The sequence below is a fragment of the Homo sapiens genome, chromosome 17 (assembly GCF_000001405.40).
Source record: "Homo sapiens chromosome 17, GRCh38.p14 Primary Assembly".
NCBI lineage: Eukaryota > Metazoa > Chordata > Mammalia > Primates > Hominidae > Homo > Homo sapiens.
In genome coordinates this window covers 9053296-9074793 of record NC_000017.11, presented here as the reverse complement: position 1 = coordinate 9074793, position 21498 = coordinate 9053296, and the positions used below count along the sequence as shown (strand labels likewise).

General features: G+C 47.8%; 1 protein-coding gene across 3 annotated transcripts in view, besides 3 other annotated features; it reads right to left on the bottom strand.

Moving 5' to 3' along the window:
* The window catches only part of NTN1 (netrin 1), a 240914-nt gene that overhangs the window by 169207 nt on the left and 50209 nt on the right, over positions 1 to 21498 (bottom strand). The window lies entirely within an intron of this gene.
* Positions 19508 to 20128: an enhancer, noted in NCBI's record as "OCT4-NANOG-H3K27ac-H3K4me1 hESC enhancer chr17:8957983-8958603 (GRCh37/hg19 assembly coordinates)". NCBI's record gives its function as "activates a minimal SCP1, AML or CMV promoter by ChIP-STARR-seq in naive and primed H9 embryonic stem cells {active_cell/tissue: H9 hESC(naive and primed)}" and the evidence as "EXISTENCE:reporter gene assay evidence [ECO:0000049][PMID:30033119]".
* Positions 20129 to 20748: an enhancer, noted in NCBI's record as "OCT4-NANOG-H3K27ac-H3K4me1 hESC enhancer chr17:8957363-8957982 (GRCh37/hg19 assembly coordinates)". NCBI's record gives its function as "activates a minimal SCP1, AML or CMV promoter by ChIP-STARR-seq in naive H9 embryonic stem cells {active_cell/tissue: H9 hESC(naive)}" and the evidence as "EXISTENCE:reporter gene assay evidence [ECO:0000049][PMID:30033119]".
* Positions 20749 to 21370: an enhancer, noted in NCBI's record as "H3K27ac-H3K4me1 hESC enhancer chr17:8956741-8957362 (GRCh37/hg19 assembly coordinates)". NCBI's record gives its function as "activates a minimal SCP1, AML or CMV promoter by ChIP-STARR-seq in naive H9 embryonic stem cells {active_cell/tissue: H9 hESC(naive)}" and the evidence as "EXISTENCE:reporter gene assay evidence [ECO:0000049][PMID:30033119]".

Here is a 21498-nt window from a genome sequence, read left to right as displayed (position 1 = left end):
TGCATAGGACTTTTGCATCCAGCCTCAACCCTTGGGTGTCAAATCTGGTGAACAGGCTCAGTGATCATGCCTAGGTGATGTTGTCTTTGGATAAAAACTGAGGCCGTAAAGTAACAAGACTGACTTCCCCACGGGGCTGGTAAAAGGGCCCTCCAGGCCAGTGGAAGAAGTGTTTCACCTCCCCAGGTGGCTCCTAAAGTGGACAGGAGAGTCATCTGGATCTGTCTACTTGGGCGTGTTGAGTGAAAAACAAAAATGTCAGCTCCATTCTTCACAGTCACGCCTCTGAAGCCAACAAGTCATGAACTTGGAGTTGTTTTTCCAGTGGTGCAGATGAATTTCCACTGATTTGCACACTCACTCACCCGCTCCATGGCTCTGCCTCACAAGGAATGACACACATTTTCGAGAAGGCTGGCCAGGTGAGGAGTTCAGCCCAAGGCCACGCGCAGAGAGACGCTCAGTGACCCTTGATGAGAATGAGTCACAGCACCAAGCTCCAACCAGAGCGGGCTGGCCGCGTCCCATCCCTAATTCCTCAGAAAAATGCAGTTGCTGAGCTTACACGCCGTCTTGCAGGAAGCCACCTCGCCCCTGTCAGGCTTCCCTCCCGCACTGGTTCGCGAGAGCCGGCACCACTGCCTTCTCTCAAATGGTCCCTCTGCTGCCTAACTGGTGCCCTCTTGGCGCCAAAAGACCAATCCCCTAAAGTCTTCACTCAACATAGCCACTGATTCCTGGGCCTCCCAGGCTGGTCACTGGCCCCAAACAAAGAGCTCAAGGTACCGGGACACCAGCAACAAGAATCGAGCATCTTCCAGATCCTGCTTCCACATGGTTTCCCACTCCTCTGATTCCCTTGAATGAAAAACGGTAGGAAACAGCCCAGGAAAACAGCCACAAAGAGGGAGTGCTGAACTCACTGCGCGAAAGAGGGCCAAGAATCCCCAACAGGCTGCCCATGACGAAGAGAATACCACATTCACTTTGTGTCATTTTCCGAGCCAGGCACCCACCAAGTGGGACCATGGATCTCCAAGTCTCTGGAACGCACAACCTGGATCAACAGGTGCAATTCCCATATTCTCTCTTCAAAAACTGACCTTGTAAGAGGGCAAATGTTTGCCCTGGAGGGAAGGAAGCAGAGGCTGAGCATTATTTGCTGGGGTCAAGTATACAGGAGACTCCTGCACTCGGCGGGAGGGCAGATGCTGGAGGATCTCTATGGTCCTCTCAACCTCTAAAATCAAATGAGTTCAGGAAGACCCAGCACAAGGAAAGACACAAACAAACATCCCTCCAGCTACCACTGAAGTTAGGCTTTGAAGACGGATTTCCATCCCAGGCTATTCTGGTGGCAAAGTTGCCCTGAAATTTGTGCCCTGACTCAATGAACTCCCAGGGTGGGAGGTGATGGAGAACTCTCGTGGGGACTTGTTTGATAAGTTCAGTTTCTTCCCAGATGACTCATGTTCAGGTTCAACTCTCTGAATCACCTTGCACCCACCTTCACCCGCGGCTTTGATTCCCACCTTCCACCCCCAAGTCTCGGCGCTCAGGAGACAGGTGTCTGGGGCCCAGGTGGGATACGCGACTCCTCCCAGCCACTGTTTGCAAATGCGGCCCCTGTGCATGGCTGCTTGGGCCTTGCCGGGCCTCCGCTGTGCAAAGTGAATCACAGCTGCCAGGCTGCTTTCAATATCCGCTCGTCCTCGCTGGCCTACCAGCCAGACGGTCCCCCCACCCCTTTCTCTTTGAAGAAAAGTGATTTAATTTCAGGAGACTTTGGGGTAATCATGTTATGATCTTCAACATTAACCAGAACCAACTCCCTGCTACAGGAGGGTGGGGAAGGAAAGAGGAAGAAAAAAGTAAACAGTCCCATTCCGGATTGCCAGAAATGAGAGGAAAAAGAAAATCACAGCAGCTGCTTTGCTGGTTCCCCGACTAGGAGAGGCCTCTGCCAGAAACGGGGCCTCCGTGCCAAGGTTTCTGGAAACAAGGAAGTTGGGCTTGGCAGGGCCTCCCTTTCTACAGGTTAATCAACTCAATTCTGGGGGGAGAGATATTGCTTTTCATTCTTTAGCCTATCTTCTCCTCCCGCTTATTCCCACCCCTGCCTCCCACTCACTTCCCATCACCGCTGCATTCCCCAACTTAGGTTACCCGACAGCCTCCTCTCCCAGAATGCAGGGGGCCTCCCTGCCTCCTCTCCGAGGCGGGCACGCAAAGCTACTCCGGAGACCAGGTCAAACAGCCACCTTCAATTTTCCTGAAGGGCTTCACCTCCACATCCCCGCCCACCTCTCAAAGCTTTTTGGGCAACAAAATGAGGTTTGATGAGAAGGCCGGGTTGAGAGAAGGCAAGAATAAGTTGGGGGGTAGGGGTAGAAGTGAGGCTTAAGAAAATAAGAATTCAAGCCCACAAAATCAGAATAGTGCATCTAAGGGTTAGCTGGAGCCAGGGAGGAATTCTCACGAACAATGGTCCTTCTTGGCAGACAGTCCACGGGTGTGGTGCCCGCTTGAAAAAAAAAAAAAAAAACAGCAAATAACCCAGGCTCCAGGGCCACCCGGGAGGGGGCTGGTGTGAAGCTGGAAAGCTGGGGCTAAGGACTCATGAAGACCCCCAGGAAATGATGGATCACGTGGAGAAAGTGCTCCCCTTGGGGTTCCTGCCCGAGAAGCATCTTGCCAGACCTCAGCTGTGCAAAGGGCAGAGATCCTACTCCCAGCCCCGGCTTCCCTCCCGACTCTCGGGGCTGCGTGTGTGCTCAGATCCCACAAAGGCATCTACAGCATCTCTCACCCCTCCCCAGGGATGTGGAAACTGCAGCATCTGCCAGGGGCTGTGAAATGTAGGGGCCACCATATAAGGCAACTTCTCACACCCCCATCACCTGGTCAGACCCCAGCCTCCATTCATACTGCAAGCTGGGACTCAGAGTGTCTTTAGGAATTCTGGAGGGAAAGAAACCCTGGGCATGACTTTGGAGACATATGTTTGCCATTTGAGTCACTTTCCAAGGTGTAGGGAAAACAATACAAGTGTCATCGGCCACCACTTGACAAGCTCATCACCCCCAGCCTCCATTTGATGCTGCTGGCGAAAGGGCATGCGGGCAGGGTCTCCCGCCCATGGGCAGGCAGGTGGGCATAACTTACCTGCAGCTGTAGGACTGGCCCCAGGGGTGGGTCTGAGCCAAGTCCTTTGGCTTCCACCAGGCATGACAGCCTAGGGCTTAGAAACTATAATTCATTTTAGTACATTTTTTGCAAACATTGTTTTATGGTTTTTTTTTTTAATTTTTAAACTTCATATTTTAAAAATGTCATTTAAGATAAAGGTCACACAGAGTAGAATGGAGGGATTACAGAGTCTAATTACTGAGAATGTGAAACGATATCATTGTATTAGAAAAGTGATCAAAACAGGCTTAGAGCAAGCTGTGGACCGTGTCAGGAGCTTAACACGGTGGTTCCAGAGGCTTCCCTTTAAATGCTTGAGAAACATGGAAGAAAATCACTCTGTCTGAGGTTATCAGTGTTCACACGATCCGTGTTACACCAAAAATAGATCTGTCCCCACAGAGAGCAGGCTCCCTCATGACCGCTGACAGAGGTGAAAAAGAGCTGGACTCTTCAGTGCTCCGGCCTCAGTGGTTTGTGGTTATTCTCTCAATCTGGAAAGTTCCAAGAAGTTGGAGGAAGTGAGGTCTGCGGGCAATGGGAAGAGCCATGGACCACAGAGAGGCTCTGTGGAAGCAACGTGGCGGACACGCAGCATGGGAATGGTCTGAAACAGTCCCCAAAAGTCTTGGGAAGACCGAACTATGGGTCCAGCCCCTACCAAATGATGACTTTGCTCCACAAAGCACATGTAGCTTAAAAGTGAGCTCCAGGACCGGGTGCGGTGGCTCATGCCTGTAATCCCAGCACTTTGGGAGGCGGAGGCGGGCAGATCACCTGAGGTCAGGAATTCGAGACCAGCCTGGCCAACATGGTGAAACCCCATCTCTACTAAAAATACAAAAATTAGCCTGGCATGGTGGCAGGTGCCTGTAATCCCAGCTACTCAGGAGGCTGAGGCAGGAGAATCATTTGAACCCGGGAGGCGGAGGTTGCAGTGAGCAGAGATCGCAACATTGCACTCCAGCCTGGCAGACAAGAATGAGACTTTGTCTCAAAAAAAATAAAAATGTGAGCTCCAAACCAGTGGCAGCTTAGATGAGTGGCAACAGCACCCGACAAGTAGGGCAGGAGACTAAGGTCCTAATTCCATCTTTTCATCACACTTCACTTTTCCAAAGTCTCGGGGGTTTAGGCTCAAAGAGCCATGACTGCTCTCAGTCACTTCTTGTTCCTCTATGACCTCTAAATAGTGAAGACAGTTTGGACAAGAGTAAAACAATTTCCTTTCTCGGGAGAAAGAAGCACGCATGACATTTTCTGAGTTGTCCTAACCAGTGGCTGAAGTGAGATCCACCCGGAAGGCTCATGGCTGACATTTACTGAGCACTTGCTTTGAACCAAACACTGTTCTAAGCCCCTGAATTAACTCATTTAACAACAATCACACGAAGAGGGCAATAATAATAGACAGAAAGAGAAACTGAGTCACAGTGCACCTAAGACATTTGCCCAAGGTCACAGAGTTGATATGTGGTAGAACTAGAGTTTGAACCCACTCAGTGTGGTACAGGGTCCAACCTCTTAGTCCACTAGTCTACACAACCTACGAAGAAGAAGGCGGGTATGTGCTCCAGCCAGGACCATCCCCAGCCACGTGCTGGGGAACATTACCAGACTAGCTCACCCTTTTCTCCCGAAGGCTACCCACTGGTATCTGGGTTACCCACCAAACTCTTCCCAGGAGGATGAGCCACAGGTGGTTCATTTGGCCTGTGCTGTGACACGGGGTCTTGGTACCCTCACCAAGTGGGCAAAGGTAGAATACATCAAGATCACAAATAGGAGATGAAACCTTTAAATGTGTTGTTAATGCGGGGTCAACCTCACTAGCCTTATCCTAAGGAGGAACTGGAAGCCCCTGCCACCTTGTCCTCAGGCACTTCACACTCCTTACTTTGAGGTGCTCCCACCTACTGGTCCTTCTGTCCCCAAATCCCAGTTGGTGACAAGAAGCAGAGTCCCAAGAAGCAGGCAGGGCGAGGCCTCCAAGGTGAAGACTCTGAGAAGTTTGAGGGAGAAAGCTGCTCAGAAAATTCAACCTCCTCTTGAAAAGGAAATAACCTCCTTGGCTTCATTATTTTGTTTTTAACGCAGTGAAAGTGATTAATCCATAGTCAAACCAAAATAGTTTATATACAGGTTCTGCTAAGGTTTCCTCATTACGAAATACGAAATGAGAAAATGTTCATTCTTCTGCTTTGAAATAACAAAAAGCCAATGAAGTGGAAATTAGACTGATTCTTAAAGAAGACCAAAAAGACATGTCCCTAGAACTTAATTTCCATTCTTTTTTTTTTAATTCCCATAGCTATAAACTAGTTGAATAGACCTTTAAAATGTTTTAATAGGAAAATTCCTAGGAGGGGAAGTGAGATCTCGGTGTCTAAAAGGTTCCAATTTAGCAGTTGGGAAAAGTGTTTTAGCAGCTTTTATCCCCACGGGATTGTGAAATTCATCAATACAGTGCTCCTGGTACTGAAGTCTTGATGAACGGTGGAGGAAGCCAGGCTAGGAGGCAAGAGGCTATTTGCAAGGATAGGAAAATTCAGCTCCATACTTTGAAGAGCAGATGAGCTGATTCCTGTACTCATGGAGGGGTGGATGCATGCTGAGTGCAAGGCACCAGCTGGGAAGAGAGCCGTGGGTCAGTCTGTACTGCCGCCATATGGTGTGGACACCAGCCACCAGCCACTCTCTTTCCTGCATCTTAGAGCCCCTTTTGGAAATTCGAGGATGACACACTGTTCCCTCCCAAGGGTCTAACTTAAGAAAAGGCCTATTTTTTAAAAAATCGGGCCAGGCGCGGTGGCTTATGCCTGTAATCCCAGCACTTTGGGAGGCCGAGGTAGGCGGATCATCTAAGGTCAGGAGTTCGAGACCAGCCTGACCAACATGGAGAAACCTCGTCTCTACTAAAAATACAAAATTAGCTGGGTGTGGTGGCACATGCCTGTAATCCCAGCTACTCGGGAGGCTGAGGTAAGAGAATCGCTTGAACCCAGAGGGCAGAGGTTGTGGTGAGCCGAGATCGCACCATTGCACTCCAGCCTGGGCAACGAGAGAAACTCCATCTCAAAAAAAAAAAAAAATTCACACATACACACACACACATAATCTGGCCAGGTGCAGCAGCTCACACCTGTAATCCCAGCGCTTTGGGGGGCCAATGCAGGAGGATCCCTTGAGCCTAGGAGTTCGAGACCAGTCTGGGCAACATAGTAGGACCTCGTCTCTACAAAAATTTGTTTTAAAAATTAGCCAGCTGTGGTGCACATGCCTTTGGTTCTAGCTCCTCAGGAGGCTGAGGAGGGAGGATCACTTAAGCCTGGGAGGTCAAGGCTGCAGTGAGCTGTGATCGCACCACTGTACTCCAACCTGGGTGACAAAGCAAGACTCTGTCTCAGAAAAAAAAGAACATAATCTGATTCCAGTCACACCAAACAGACGTTTCCCTAAACTCATCAATCCCTTCTAGCCTGGTAGTTTATTCATTCATCCAATGAACATTTATTGATTGTCTGCCCTGAGTTAGACATTCTGGGAGGCCCTAAGGCACCGTGCTTGGAGACTGCTCTATGTTGCTCAGGCTGGACTCAAACTCCTCAGCTCAAGCAATCCTCCCACCTCGGCTGGGTTTACAGGCGCACACCAGCATGCCCGGTTTATGATATCTTCAATACAATCTGAACTCTATGGAGGCAGAGGCTAATGTGTGAGTTTGCACCAGAGGCTTCTAGCACCTGAGCCCAGGGCCTCCTGGCTGCCGAGGGATGGACCTAGCTCCCATCCCCCAAGCCCAGAGCCCTCACCCTGAGTCACCTGTTGAGGGGCTAGATGGGCAGAGATGCCTGGAAGAACTAACTCCCGATCCAGGCCTGAAGATGCTTGCACAGCATAAACACGATGGGGCATGGGAGGCGACTGAAGAAGTGAGGAAGATGAGTGGGTTGGGACAGACCAAGAAGGGCCTCAAATTCCACGTAAAGGAGTTTGGACTTAATTCTGTAAGAGACAGGAGTGGAGAATGGAGTCATAAAGGAAGGCAGCTCTGGTGGCTGTGTGAATGGCTGTGTAAATTAATGTATCCCGGGTGCATTTAAGTCAAATGGACCTTATTCCACTGACAAATGTATTTAATACAGTGAAAACTGTTATCTTATTGTAACAGGAGGCTCAAAGAAACAGAGATCCAAAACATTTATTATCTTCTATGGCTCACCCAGAACACATACCCCTGCTTCATACTCAACTTCCACACTTGAAGCTGTATTTAATAGCCTTAGGAGACATTATCATGTCCACATCCCTAACAACATGCCATTTTTTTTTTTTTTTGAGACAGGGTCTTGCTCTGTCGCCCAGGCTGGAGTACAGTGGCACAATCTTGGCTCACTGCAACCTCCGCCTCCTGGGTTCAAGCAATTCTCATGCCTCAGCCTCCCAGGTAGCTGAGACTACAGGTGTGCACCACCATGCCTGGCTAATTTTTGTATTTTTTACAGAGACGGGGTCTTGCCATGTTGGCCCAGCCTCATGTGATCCGCCCACCTCGGCCTCCCAAAGTGCCGACTCCGGCTCAATGTGCCTTTTTTTTTTTTTTTTTGAGATGGAGTCACTCTGTCGCCCAGGCTGGAGTGCAATGGTGCAGTCTCGGCTCACTGCAACCTCCACCTCCTGGGTTCAAGTGATCCTCCTGCCTCAGCCTCCCAAGTAGCTGGGATTGCAGGCATGTGCCAACATGCCCAGTTAATTTTTGTTATTTTTAGTTGAGACGGGGTTTCACCATTTTGGCCAGGCTGGTCTGGAACTCCTGACCTCAGGTGATCTGCCTGCCTTGGCCTCCCAAAGTGCTGGGATTAAAGGCGTGAACCACTGCAACTGGCCACAACGTGCCATTTGTAATATTGCTTACTAACATGATCCATGGTTAAGTTCTACCATTCTGTATATCTGCTATTGAATTTTTTTTTCTTTGAGACGGAGACTCACTCTGTCGCCCAGGCTGGAGTGCAGTGGCACAATCTCAGCTCACTGCAACCTCTGCCCCCAAGATTCAAGCGATTCTCCTGCCTCAGCCTCCTGAGTAGCTGGGATTACAGGTACCCACCACCACACCTGGCTAATTTTTTGTATTTTTAGTAGAGACAGGGTTTCACCATATTGGCCAGGCTGGTCTCAGACTCCTGACCTTGTGATCCGCCCACCTCAGCCTCCCAAAGTGCTGGGATTACAGGTGTGAGCCACCACGCCCGGCTCTGCTATTGAATTTTCTACTTGATCCATACTAAAAGTAACCAATGGAAGCTTATGATGTCTTTATGATATCTTTTTTATTTTTATTTTTTGGAGACGAAGTCCTGCTATGTTGCTCAGGCTGGACTCAAACTCCTCAGCTCAAGTGATCCTCCTGCCTCAGCTTCCTGAGTAGCTGGGATTACAGGTGCACACCATCATGCCCAGGCTTATGACATCTTTAATACAACTAGTGATCTTCTTGACCGGACAATAATATACATAATTGCATTTAACTATATTTTTAATGTCTTATTAATACAATTACATTGCAGTGTCCATCCTACTGCTTTCCTCTACACATATTTATTGTATATATGTTTTATATTTTCTCCGGACACATATGAATGGATTTAATCTCTGGCTAAAGGTAGATATTCTAGTGGGGAAGCCAGGATTAGCAAAATGATAAATGAGGGTTTTGTTCATTTTATGGTCAACTCTGTTAATGATAATAATTTATTTAAATTAAGCTTTCCTTCTTTTCTTGGATCAGTAGATGGTAAAGTGATTAAGTTTCTACATACTTCCCTAACACTTGAGCATAGTCCACAATCTGAGAGGCCACAGAGCCCAGCACAGGATCCTGCTTGGGGTCATTCATGCCTTCCTTCATCCACTGCCGTTTTACTGAGCTCACGGGCTATACCCAGGCCTGGTCTGGAGGCTGGGGCACGGCATCGCAAAGCAGACTTGGTGCTTGCCCTGGTGGCGTTCACAGTTCAATGTCAGGAGACAGGCATTCAGTGAGTGGACAAGTACGAGATCATTTCAGATTGTGAAAGCAAGAGACTGTGGCCATATGGGTGTGTGGGGTCAGTGCTTCAGACCGGGTGTCAGGAAAAGCCTGTCTCAGCAAGGCAATTTGAGCCCAAACCTGAGGGATGAGAAAGAACCAGCCAAGAGCAGACAGAAGAGTGGGAAGAACAGGTGGGCAATGTGGCCACAGTGTGGGCAGGAAACCAGGAGAGGCAGGCTGGGGTCAGACTGGCAGGGAAGGAATCTGTGCCACCGTCCGACGGAGCCACTCTGGGTTTATAGCAAGGGTATTGCTTTTTAACAAGATCACATAAGGCTGGGCACAGTGGCTCACACCTGTAATCCCAGCACTTCAGGAGGTGGAGGCAGGCAGATCACCTGAGGTCAGGAGTTCGAGACCAGCCTGGTCAACATAGTAAAACACTGTCTCTACTAAAAATACAAAAATTAGCCGGTTGTGGTGGTGCACACCTGTAATCCCAAATACTCAGGAGGCTGAGGCAGGAGAATTGTTTGAACCCGGGAAGTGGAGGTTGCAGTGAGCCGAGATTGCACCACTGCACTCCAGCCTGGGCGACAGAGAGAGGCGCCATCTCAATAAATAAATTAATTAATAAAAATAAAATGAATGGGGCATGGTGGTGCACACCTGTAGTGCCAGCTACTTGGGCAGCTGAGGTGGGAGGATTGCTTGAGCCTGCGAGGTCAAGGCTGCAGTGAGCTGTGATCAGCACTCCTGCCTGAGTAACAAAGCAAGACCCTGTCTCAAAAAAAAAGAGATCACACTGCTGTTGTGTGGAAATGGATCAAACTGAGGAGCTAGTGGAAGCAGGAAACCAAGGAAGGAACTACCAGAGCCATCCAGGGGGATGGTGACTCGGCAGTGTGAATGATGTGAATGATGTCATGAAATACACTATGAACGATGTGTGAATGATGACAGTGTGCAGGATGACATGAAATACACCGAGTAGGGGATGGTACTCATCAGACTCAGGGAGGAACTGATTGGGGATGGGGGAGTGAAAGAAAAAGAGGGATTTGGAACAACCCTCCTAGGTATCTGGCCTGAGCAGCTTGAGGTGCCCATGAGGCATCGACGCAGAAGTGAGAAATGGGGAGCTGTGGGGTCTGAAGCTCAAAAGAGAAGTCAGGGCCAGAGAGGTAAAACAGAGAGGCTTGGCATCACTTTATGGAAAGCCATGAAAATGGCAGCGGTCATTTACAGAGAGAATGTGTACAGGGAAGGGAGAACCCTGGGGCGAGCTCCTGGATGTGGAAGTCAGTTAGAGGAGAAGGCTGGCCAGGAAGTGGGTGGATGGATGGAAGCATGGATAGAGCATGGACCGATGAATGAATGGATGCAAGGATTTACATACAAACGACCCTAAACAACTATTCACTTTCCTCCCCATGGAATGTTTGGTTTCCACTTACCTACAAACAATATAACCCCTTTCCTGTTCCTCCAAGGAGAGCAATAAACTACAACTACCCACCAGACCTTGAAGAAGCTATAGTAAAAAAAAGGGACCATTACAGTTAGGATGCTTGTATTTCTTACTTAGTAATTGAAAAAATAAATAAATCATACTGGAAAACCCAGTAAGGAAAAGCGAATGAGATGGGTTTCCCTCATTCTCATGAGCAGTTGGTAGTGACAACAGCTCCTTCCTCAAGGCATGCATCTGCCTTGGCTAAAAAAAAAATCTTTGGGGCTCACGCCTGTAATCCTAGCACTTTGGGAGGCCGAGGCGGGCGGATCACGAGGTCAGGAGATCGAGACCATCCTGGCTAACACGGTGAAACCCCATCTCTACTAAAAATACAAAAAAATTAGCCAGGCGTGGTGGCGGGCACCTGCAGTCCCAGCTACTCGGGAGGCTGAGGCAGGAGAATGGCATGAACCCGGGAGGCAGAGCTTGCAGTGAGCTGAGATTGCGCCACTGCACTCCGGCCTGGGAGACAGCAAGACTCTGTCACCAAAAAAAAAAAAACTTTGCTCTGCTAACCACCTGCACTTACCTCTTTCATAGCTCAATGTGGAACTTTTGGATTATGGACTGAATCCTGACTTTGAGTTTGGACCATGGAGAAACACCATTTTGTGCTTATTGTGGCAAAATACAACAAAGCTTTAAAAGTCATTAATGGGCTGGGAGCGGTGGCTCACGCCTGTAATCCCTGCACTTTGGGAGGCCGAGGTGGGTGGATTCCCTGAGGCCAGGAGTTCGAGACCAGCCTGGCCAACATGATGAAACCCTGTCTCTACTAAAAATACAAAAAATTAGCTGAGCATGGTGGCCAGTACCTGTAATCCCAGCTACTCAGGAGGCTGAGGCAGGATAATCACTTGAACCCGGGAGGTGGAGGTTGCAGTGAGCCAAGATTGTGCCACTGCACTCCAGCCTAGGCAACAAGAGCAAAACTCCGTCAAAAAAAAAAAAAGTCATTAATGATAATACCTATAAAAGACTATAGGATAAATAAAAAATAGTCTTTCCCTTTGGAAAAAAGAAAAAGAAAAGATAGTCTCATCTCTGGGACAGGATTTCTCAGTGGAAAATAGGAAAAGCAGAAGCTCAAAAAAGATGTACTTTCAGATTTTAGATAGGCATACAACACATTCTGAAAATGTTTCCCACAATCCTGTATTATTATTATTTTTTTTTACTTAAGGGCGACGCTGGCAAATGCTGTTACATTTCTACTACGAGCTGACGTTGTGACACCTACAGACACGCTGGGTGTCAGAGCACCCCATCACACGATACATGAAGTGTAATCCCCGAACATAATTTTATGTGCTATTTTTCTGAGCTTTCTCTTGAAAAGCTGGGTGACTTCTTGGGTAGCAGCAATTTACCTTTCACACTTCTGTAATAATCAAGGTGCCTGATTGCCCTGAATAACATTCCAGGCTGTCAGAATACTTCATGGTTGTGAATTAGCATTTCAAAACCTTTTGAAACCAAGGGTAGGAGGGCTTTTTTTTCCTTAGCTAAAGGTTCCCCTGGCTGCAAAGAAGCGAGTGTTAAGTGCACACCTGGAGGAGCCATATTTCTGTATGAGAATACTGGATGGGAGGTCTCAAAAAATGTGTCAGAAAGCTCGAGTAACATTCTGGCTCAATTATCATACAGCCTGACATTTGCAGAAAGGGTCTAAGTTCAAGCATGCTGCTCCGTGTGTCTGTAACTCATGAAAACAATCTGAAAATCCCAACACTTTAGGTACAGAAACAGCATTTTCCTAGATGGCTTCTCCAGCCCAGAAAGGGGAATAAAAACCTTTTATGAGGCCGTGGCCCCTCATTCGGAATTGGGACAACTTCATTCCAAGGAAGTCTGTGGTCATCAAAATATTACAATGCCCTGAAAGATTTTTTGTTGGCAGTCTGAGCCTCGGGGACTAAAAATCTACTGAGATGCAAGATTGATTCAGGAACAAAACCACCTGATTTAATGAGTGATTGCTCTCACAGCCATATCCAGTGGCCATCGTTTACGCCATTTCATCAGGCTTGTCCCCTGCTAAAAACTGCTCCTGGCTGGCTGTGGTGGCTCACACCTGTAATCCCAGCACTTTGGGAGACCGAGGCAGGCGCATCACGAGGTCAGGAGTTCAAGACCAGCCTGGCCAACATGGTGAAACACCGTCTTTACTAAAAATACAAAAAATTAGCTCAGCGTGGTGGCAGGCACCTGTAATCCCAGCCACTTGGGAGGCTGAGGCAGGAGAATTGCTTGAACCCGGGAGGTGGAGGTTTCAGTGAGCCAAGACCACGCCACTGGACTCTGGTCTGGGCGACAGAGCGAGAATCCGTCTCAAAAAAACAAAACAAAACAAAATAAAACAAAAACAACAACAACAACAAAAAAACTGCTCCTGGATGCCCATCGCTTACCAGTGGTTCTCCAAATGTGGACAGACTAGCAATATCAACACCACCTGGGCACTTGTTAGATATCAAATCCTAGGGCCCCACTCCAAACCTATCTTTGAGGAAGGGCCCAGCAATCTGTGACTCTGAAGCAGGCCAAAATGTGACAACCACTTGTCTAGATAAACCCCACCTTCCTTAGCCTGGCCACCACCTTGCCCATACCCGGTCTCTGCTCCATCTCCTCCTATGCTCCTACTGGGAGCCAAGGTTCCAGCCAACTGTCTCATTGACACATGTTCTCTAGAAAGGCCAGACCCCCCCTTACCCTTTGGGCCACTGTCACTCATTCCACTCACCTGCCTAGAATCAGCCACCTTCCTCACTCTATTTTCAACTGCCACCTTCCTCACTCTATTTTCAACTGACACTCAAGTTCTAGAAAGGAACTGAGCCCTCCCCTTCCTCCTCCACCAGGCCTTCTCCACCTCCCTAGAAACCATGGGGCTCTGTTGGTTGGATCAGAATGCTCTATCACTACAAAAGAACATGATGATCTTTCCCCTGTGCAAAGCAAACAACCTAAGGTGATTCAACCAAGGTCACTGTGGTTGAGTAATTTTTTCAACTTCATGCTTTTTAAATTATACCTTCATCCTAAACCTTTGTTGCCTACTTTTTTTTTTTTTTTTTGAGACAGAGTCTTGCTCTGTCACCAGGCTGGAATGCAATGGTACAATCTCGGCTCACTGCAACCTCCGCCTCCCAGGTTCAAGTGATTCTCCTGCCTCAGCCTCCCGAGTAGCTTGGACTACAGGCACGCGCCACCATGCCCAGTTAATTTTTGTATTTTTAGTAGAGATGGCGTTTCACCATGTTGGCCAGGATGGTCTCGATCTCTTAACCTCGTGATCTGCCTGCCTTGGCCTCCCAAAGTGCTGGGATTACAGGCATGAGCCACTGCACCCGGGCTGCCTACTCCTTTTTATCCCACTTGAGAGCTAGCTGGCTAATGGCAAAACAGATATTATGAGTCCCCGTGCTGTTTGCTACACACCTCCTGAAGCCCAATGTTAAAACCATTCATTTGACAGTTACCATGGCCGTCCTCAACTGCTGGTTATCTTCTGTTATAAAATTCACAGTTGACCTCTGAACAACACAGGAGTTAGGGACACCAATGCCCCACACAGTAAAAAACCCGCGTATAACTTTTAACTCCTCAAAAACTGAACTGATAGTAGCCTACTGTTGACTGGAAGCCTTATGGATAACATAAACAGTTAATAATACATATTGTATATGTTTTATGTATTAGATACTGTATTCTTACAATAAAACATGTTAGAAAAAAGAAACTGTTATGAAGAAAACCATAAGGAAGAGAAAATATATTTACTGTTCATTAAGTGGAAGTGGATCATCATAAAGGTCTTCATCCTTGTCATCTTCACACGGAGTAGGCTGAGGAGGAGAGGAGGGGTGGGTCTTGCTGACTCTGGGGTAGCAGAGGAGGAAGAAAATCCATGTATAAATGGATCCTCAACGTTCAAGCCTGTGTTGTTCGAGGGCCAACTGTACGCTTATCATTATGTATCCTACTCTAATGATAATGGCTAGTATTTTGCATAGATATGTACACTCCCATTTGCATACATACACCCCGTATGCAGTAAGTGCAGTTTCTTCCGACAGGTGCCATTTTTGCCACTGTGACCCTCCCCTCCCTGGGCCCCAGTGCTCCGAAACATGCTCACTTAGCCATACGTGGCCCTGGTGGTTTAGACTTGCCCTCTTGAGTCTTCCCATCTGCAAGGGTCTTTTTTTTTTTTTTTTTTTGTAATTGAGGTGAAATTCACAAAACATAAAATGAGTCATTTAAAATAGACAATCCGGTGGCATTTAGTACATTCCCAAAGCTGTACAACCATCACCTCTGTCTAGTTTCAAAATGTTTTCATCTTCCCTAAAGGAGATTCCATAACTTACTAGGCAGTCACTCCCCATTTCCCCTTCCTCCCGCCCCTGGCAATCACTAATCTGCTTTGCCTCTTCTGGACATTTCACATAAATGTAACCATATCATATGTGCCCTTTTGTGTCTGGCTTCTTTCACTTGGCATACTGTTTCTGTGGTTCCTTCACACTGTAGCATATATAAGTTGTACTTCATTCCCTTTTCTGGCTGAGTGATATTACGTAGGGTGGATAGACCATATTTTGTTTATCCATTCATTTGTTCACGGACATGTGGGTTGTTTCCACCTTTTGGCTATTGTGAATAATGTTGCCATGAGCATTCATATACAAGTAGTTGTCTGAATACCTGTTTTCAGTTCTAAATACCTGTTTTCAGTGTAAATACCTAGGAGAGGCATTGCTGGGTCACACTGCAATTCTAGGTTCAGATTTTTGAGGATTTGCGTAAGTTCCTCCATCTGTACCTGCTGCATTTTCCCCAGGGTTATTTGTGGGCAGGAACCACACCTCAGTCACCGTCATATTAAACCCAGGATTCAGCATGTGCCGGCCACGTAGCAGGTAGGCATCACCATGAATGATAATATAGAGGGCTTACTGTGTACCAGGTGCTATTCTATGCACTTTACGTGTATGAAATTATTTAATGCTCCTAACAGCCCTCTGAGACAGGTACTATCATTATCTCCATTGTTGAAAGGAGGACTCTGAAATGCACAGACATTAAAGAACTTGCTCAGAGCCACAGCCAGGAAGTGGCCGAGTCTGGATTTGAACCCAGGTAGTCTAACTCCAGATTGTGGGCTCTTAAACCACTCTACTGTCTGCCTCTCTCATGTTTGGCTCCCTTCAACTCCTTAAAGACAAATTCTAGGCGGGGGCAAGCTTCCCGTTACCTGGGGCTCAAAAAATATAAATGGTCAAACCCAGGAAAAGAATTCATGATGGAAAATATCTAGCTTCTAAGAATCTACTGCTGTTTTCCATTCTTTTCTCTAAGCTATTTTTTTCTTTTTTCTTTTCTTTTTTTTTTTTTTTTTTTTTTTTTTTGAGTGCCTACCATGGGCCAAGGATCTTACATGGACCCTAAGCCTTGCAAAAATCCTATAAGGTATCCTACAAGGTCGGTATAATAATCCCCACTTTATGGATAAGAAAAGTGAGGCTTTTAACACACAATGCTAAGTCTTAAGACTTGGCCATGTGGGGCCACTTAGGGCCAGAACACAGAAACGTACATAATTCCCTACACGGCATTCAATAGGATGCACTAACTAATGTTCATATGAATGACCTGAGACAATAAGAAAGGCCTAGATGATGTTTGAGCTCTGTTTAAAAAGGCAGGTAAGTACAAAAATGCATTTCAGAAAGATTGTTATTCAAAAATGATTCAGATGATGCACTAAAATCTCAGAATTCACCACAACAGAATTCATCCATGTAACCAAAAACCACTTGTACCCCAACAGCTATTGAAATAAAAAATAAATAAATAGGACGAACATAGTGGCTCATGCCTGTAATCCCAGCACCTTGGGAGGCCGAGGCAGGCATATTTTCCTGAGCTCAGGAGTTTCTGATCAGCCTGGGCAACATGGCAAATCCCCGTCTCTACTAAAAATACAAAAAATTAGCCAGGCATGGTGGCATGTGCCTGTAGTCCCAGCTACTCGGGAGGCTGAGGCAGGAGAATCGCTAGAATCCAGGAGGCGGAGGTTGCAGTGAGCTGAGATCGTGCCACTGCACTCCAGCCTGGACAACACAGCGAGACTCTGTCTCCAAAAATAAACAAATAAATAGATGATGGGAGAAACATTTAAAAATTTTAAAAATGAACTGGCAATGTTTTTCCCTGGCCAAACAAGTCTATAATATTGGACCTGTAAAAATACGATTCTCATGAAATTAAAAGTGTTGCACTTAAAGGAGCCACGTGTCATTTTCTGGAAAACGTCCTTACGTGGAACCTGATTGTGGGGCCGGCTTCCCAGTGGGGCAGCAATCCTGCCTTCGTGCCTGATGGTTTAAAGGAGATGTTTTGTAAACAGCAACCAGCAGATGAATTTTATAAAAACAAGGAAGAAACAGCAGCCAAAGTATTACAGAATGGAAAATACCCGAGAAATCAATGAAAACGGGGAGATGAAGGAGTGTTCACCAGAGTGAAAAGGAGGTCACCAAGAGGCAGGCAGGTCACACAACTGCCCCTGGAAAGCAAACCCCGGGGAAGAGCAGAAAGCAAACAATATAGTGATAAGCCCGGGCAATCACTAGGAAACAGACTCAGGGGTCACAGGATCTGTGTGCAATCAACCAGTCACACGTAAAATTGAGGATTAAGTGATGAAATTATTTCAGCCAACATACCCCAATTGCCAGTTGTTTGTACAGCAAATTCAGTGGGAGCAAAAATAATGCTGTACATGTTGGTCCCAGGCCTCTCTTGAGAAACTGTGTCCCTGGGGACCACAGGGGTCCTTTGGTCATGCTGAGGGTGAAGTGGGGGTGGGGGGCAAAAAGAAGAGGACAGGGCTCTGCGGGGTGAGGGGGAGAAGGGGGTACACTCCAGCCCCCACCTCAACAACACCTTCTTCAGCCAAAGCAGCCCGAGTTTTGCCTGTTTTCCACACTGAGTTTCCAAATAAGATTTTGCATGGAGAAAGAATCCTAAGGATGAAAAGCGCTTGCCCTGATAACATCACAGGGGGGCCTCTGTTGAAGGGACGAGACGGGGGGCACACAGCAAGCACGCAGGCACGAAAGGCGTTGTCTTTACTATCTCATCTCTCCAGCGTCTTTTCATCCTTCATGCTGGACCAGTCCCACGCCCCATCAGTTCTTCCTTCAAAAAGCCATTGCCACATCTCACGGGGTGGAGCCCCTGCTTCTGGACTCTGAGCAGAGCCTGGGTTAAGTGCTCACATCACTACCCAGGCCATCACACTCCAGGGCACGTTTCCAGTGAGCTGGGCTGTGGCCTCATTCTGGACGGTGCTCATAGAACACGAGTGCCCTTCCTCGGCCCCAAACTACCCCAGGCCATCACTCAGCACCCCACACACTCTACCTGAGGCTGACCAGCTACTGTTGGTCTGACCAGAGCTGTTGAGCCAGACCTACTTGGTGGTCTCTAACTCAGGACTCTCCAGCCCAGGGTCCTTCCCTGCTTCTGCTTTGTACCCATTAGCCACCAACTAACAGAAAGACAGACCACCATCCTATCTAAAATTCTCTCATGGCTTCCCATAGACCTCAAAATTAAATCTAACTCCTCACCGTGCCCACAAGATGGCGGCTCCCCATCAAAACCATCAAGATGGCGGCACTCAGCCGGGCACAGTGGCTCACACCAGTAATCCCAACACTTTGGGAGGCCAAGGCAGGCAGATCACTTGAGGTCAGGAGTTTGAGACCAGTCTGACCAACATGGTGAAACCTCGTCCCTACTAAAAATACAAAAATTAGCCAGGTGTGGTGGCACATGCCTGTAATCCCAGCTACTCGGGAGGCTGAGGCAGGAGAATTGCTTGAACCCGGGAGGCGGAGGTTGCAGTGAGCAGAGGTCACGCCGTTGTACTCCAGCCTGGGCAACAAGAGGGAAACTCTGTCAAAAAAAAAAATTAGCCAGGCATAATGGTGTGCACCTGTAGTCCCAGCTTCTCTAGAGGCTGAGGCAGGAGGATCACCTGAGTCTGGGAGGTTGAGGCTGCAGTGAGCACAGATTGCGCCATTGCACTCCAGCCTGGGCAACAAGAGCGAAACTCGGTCTCAAAAACAAAAAAACAAAAAATAAAAATTAGCCAGGCATAATGGCATGCACCTGTAGTCCCAGCTACTCTGGAGACTGAGGCAGGAGGATCACCCGAGCCTGGGAGGTTGAGGCTGCAGTGAGCCATGACTGCCCCACCGCACTCTAGTGTGGGCAACAGAGTGAGACCCTGTCTCAAAAAAATAAAAATTAAAAAAAAGATGTCTGCCTTCCCATCAAGCCCATCAAGATGGTATCCATCCTGCCTTCCTCTCCTCTTCCCACCTTCCTCCACACTGGCCTTTGCTCTGTTGCTCAAACGTGGCAAGCTCCTTCCTGCACCAGGACCTCCTCACGTCTTCTCTTGACCTGAAATGGTCTCACCCCCAGTCTCCGCAGGGTTGGCTCCTTCTCCTCATTCAGGTCTCAGGTCAAATGGTCCCTCCTCAGATAGGCCTCACCTGGTGCCTTGTCTAAATGCTGCCCTCCAGTCACTACCTGATGTTAGTTCTCATCACTTCTTTTACTTCTGCTGCTCAACCCCAATAGAACATCAGCTTTTTGAGAGCAGAGATGGCCTGTCCCTCTCTGGACAGCATTGTCCAGTGGTGCAGTGGTGCAGGCAGCGGTTAGCATTCTGCCTGGATGCAGTGGGTGTTCAATAACCAGTTGTTGTTTGAGTGAGTGAATGGATGAGTCATGAATGAAGGAGAGAATGAATAAGTGAATGAATGGACTGAATGAATGAGTGCATGAATCAATACAGCAAGATGTGCAGAAGTGTCTCTGATCAGATGGGACCCACACAGCAGTCCTCAGATCAACATTGTTGCCCTTCGCTCAGAGAGGCTGAAACCCAGCAAATTCCAGTCCAGCCTCTACTGAGGCGCTCTGTTCGCCATTTAACCCAACCAAGGAGCTGCCAAGAGGGCATGTGTACCCTATTCCTCTTTTTCATAACGCAGATAAAACTTTTACACTGTCCATTAAAACCGCTATTGTTTAGCCCTCCCCTAAGGAAACTTCAAAACTAAAATTCCTTTCTCCCCTCATTTTGCCCCTTTGTTGCGACAGAAATGCTCCATTTAGCATTCCTAAAGGGCCATTAGCATCCCAAAGCTTTCGCTGTGCTGCCCGGCTGGGGACTTGTGTTCCTGATGGACGGACTCCGGCTCCGGGCCCACCGAGAGGCTCAGGCTGAAACATAGCCCCTCGTCGTCCCCTGCCACTTGGCGTAATCTCCCTGCGAGCTCGCCAAACTCACGGTGCTCTCTCATTTCAGATATTTAGCATGTCTTCTCATTCTCCCACTCTTGTTCTGAATGATTTCTCTCCCTCCTCCTTTCTTTCTGCCTCATAAGGGCACCTTTTGATGGATACTGTATGGGGGAAACTTTTTCATTCCAGTAAAAGACCCCCCTCTACAAGGCAAGATGAATATCCCCATTATAGAACAAACAGGGGGCTTTAATCCTTCCCTCGCTGCCCCGCCTTCCATTCACCCTCCATCCTTGTTCAAAGAGAAAGTGGAAGCCAATTTCCCCGTGAGGCAGGTCGGGCCGACCTGGGCAGGCGGCTTCTCCCAAGGCGGGCTCTCGTGTTTCCATGCCTCGGGCAGGCCTGAATAAGTGATTCCTCCTGAAGTTAACATCTCGGCTCTTCGGGGATCCACTCTGTGTGGCACATTGTTCTAGATAATCACTCTGCTGCTGAAATTAGCTTGTGAATCAGACAAAAAGCCTTCTGGAAATGCTAACCCAGTTGCTAGGTTCTTTCTCTGGGAGAGAGAATCGTGTTCACTGTCCGCCCTTCGTTCCCATCAGGCTGGAGTCTCCTTTTTCATGGCAGCCTCGCATTTACTATCACAGTATCTAAAAAAAATCAGATGTCAGGCACCCAACGGGGATCCCTGCCAAGGCAAACGTGAGACCACCCAGTCCCTGGGAAAGGCAACTTGGTAGCCCAAGGCACTCAAGCACATGTCCTTGAGTGAGGGGGACTACGTGCCTGACCTGGTGTGGCTGAAGCATGGCCCACCTTCATGAGCCCTGCTTAAGGGAGGCTAGACACTCCCTTTTCACCTGTGAAGCCACTAGCTCCATGAGCCATTTGCTGGCCCTTCATACAGCTGGTCATTTCATTTGGGTTCACAGATTTCCTTCATTTCTTTTCTTATTCATGGTCTCTAAATAGGCTGCCCCCAAAAGCAAGAAGCCGAAGGTGGCTGTCTCTTTTTTCATATTTTCCACTGATGTATTTATCCACTGTATATGTACTAAGCATCTGCAATGTGCCAGCATCCTGCTAGACCCTGAGGACAGAAAGATAACAGTCGGAATCCTTGTCCTCCAGGGAATCCGAATCTGCTGGAGGTGGGAGGGAGGGGAGAAGTACTCATTTTCAGAAGTTCTACAGCAACGTCCACAGGGGACCTGCTTTAGATAGAACTTCTGCTGCAGGACTTAAATTTGTGTGTTGGAGAGGCAAGGGAATGCAGTGATTTTCTTAATTGATTAATTTCTAATAAAGTAATCATTAGTCCAGAGCTTTTACAACAGCTCTCCCAAACCCCCTGAGTAACACAGTAGCAACAGGAAGGGCTAATTCCTTTCCATTTTCGCCAGTGTTGGAAGAAAGAGAG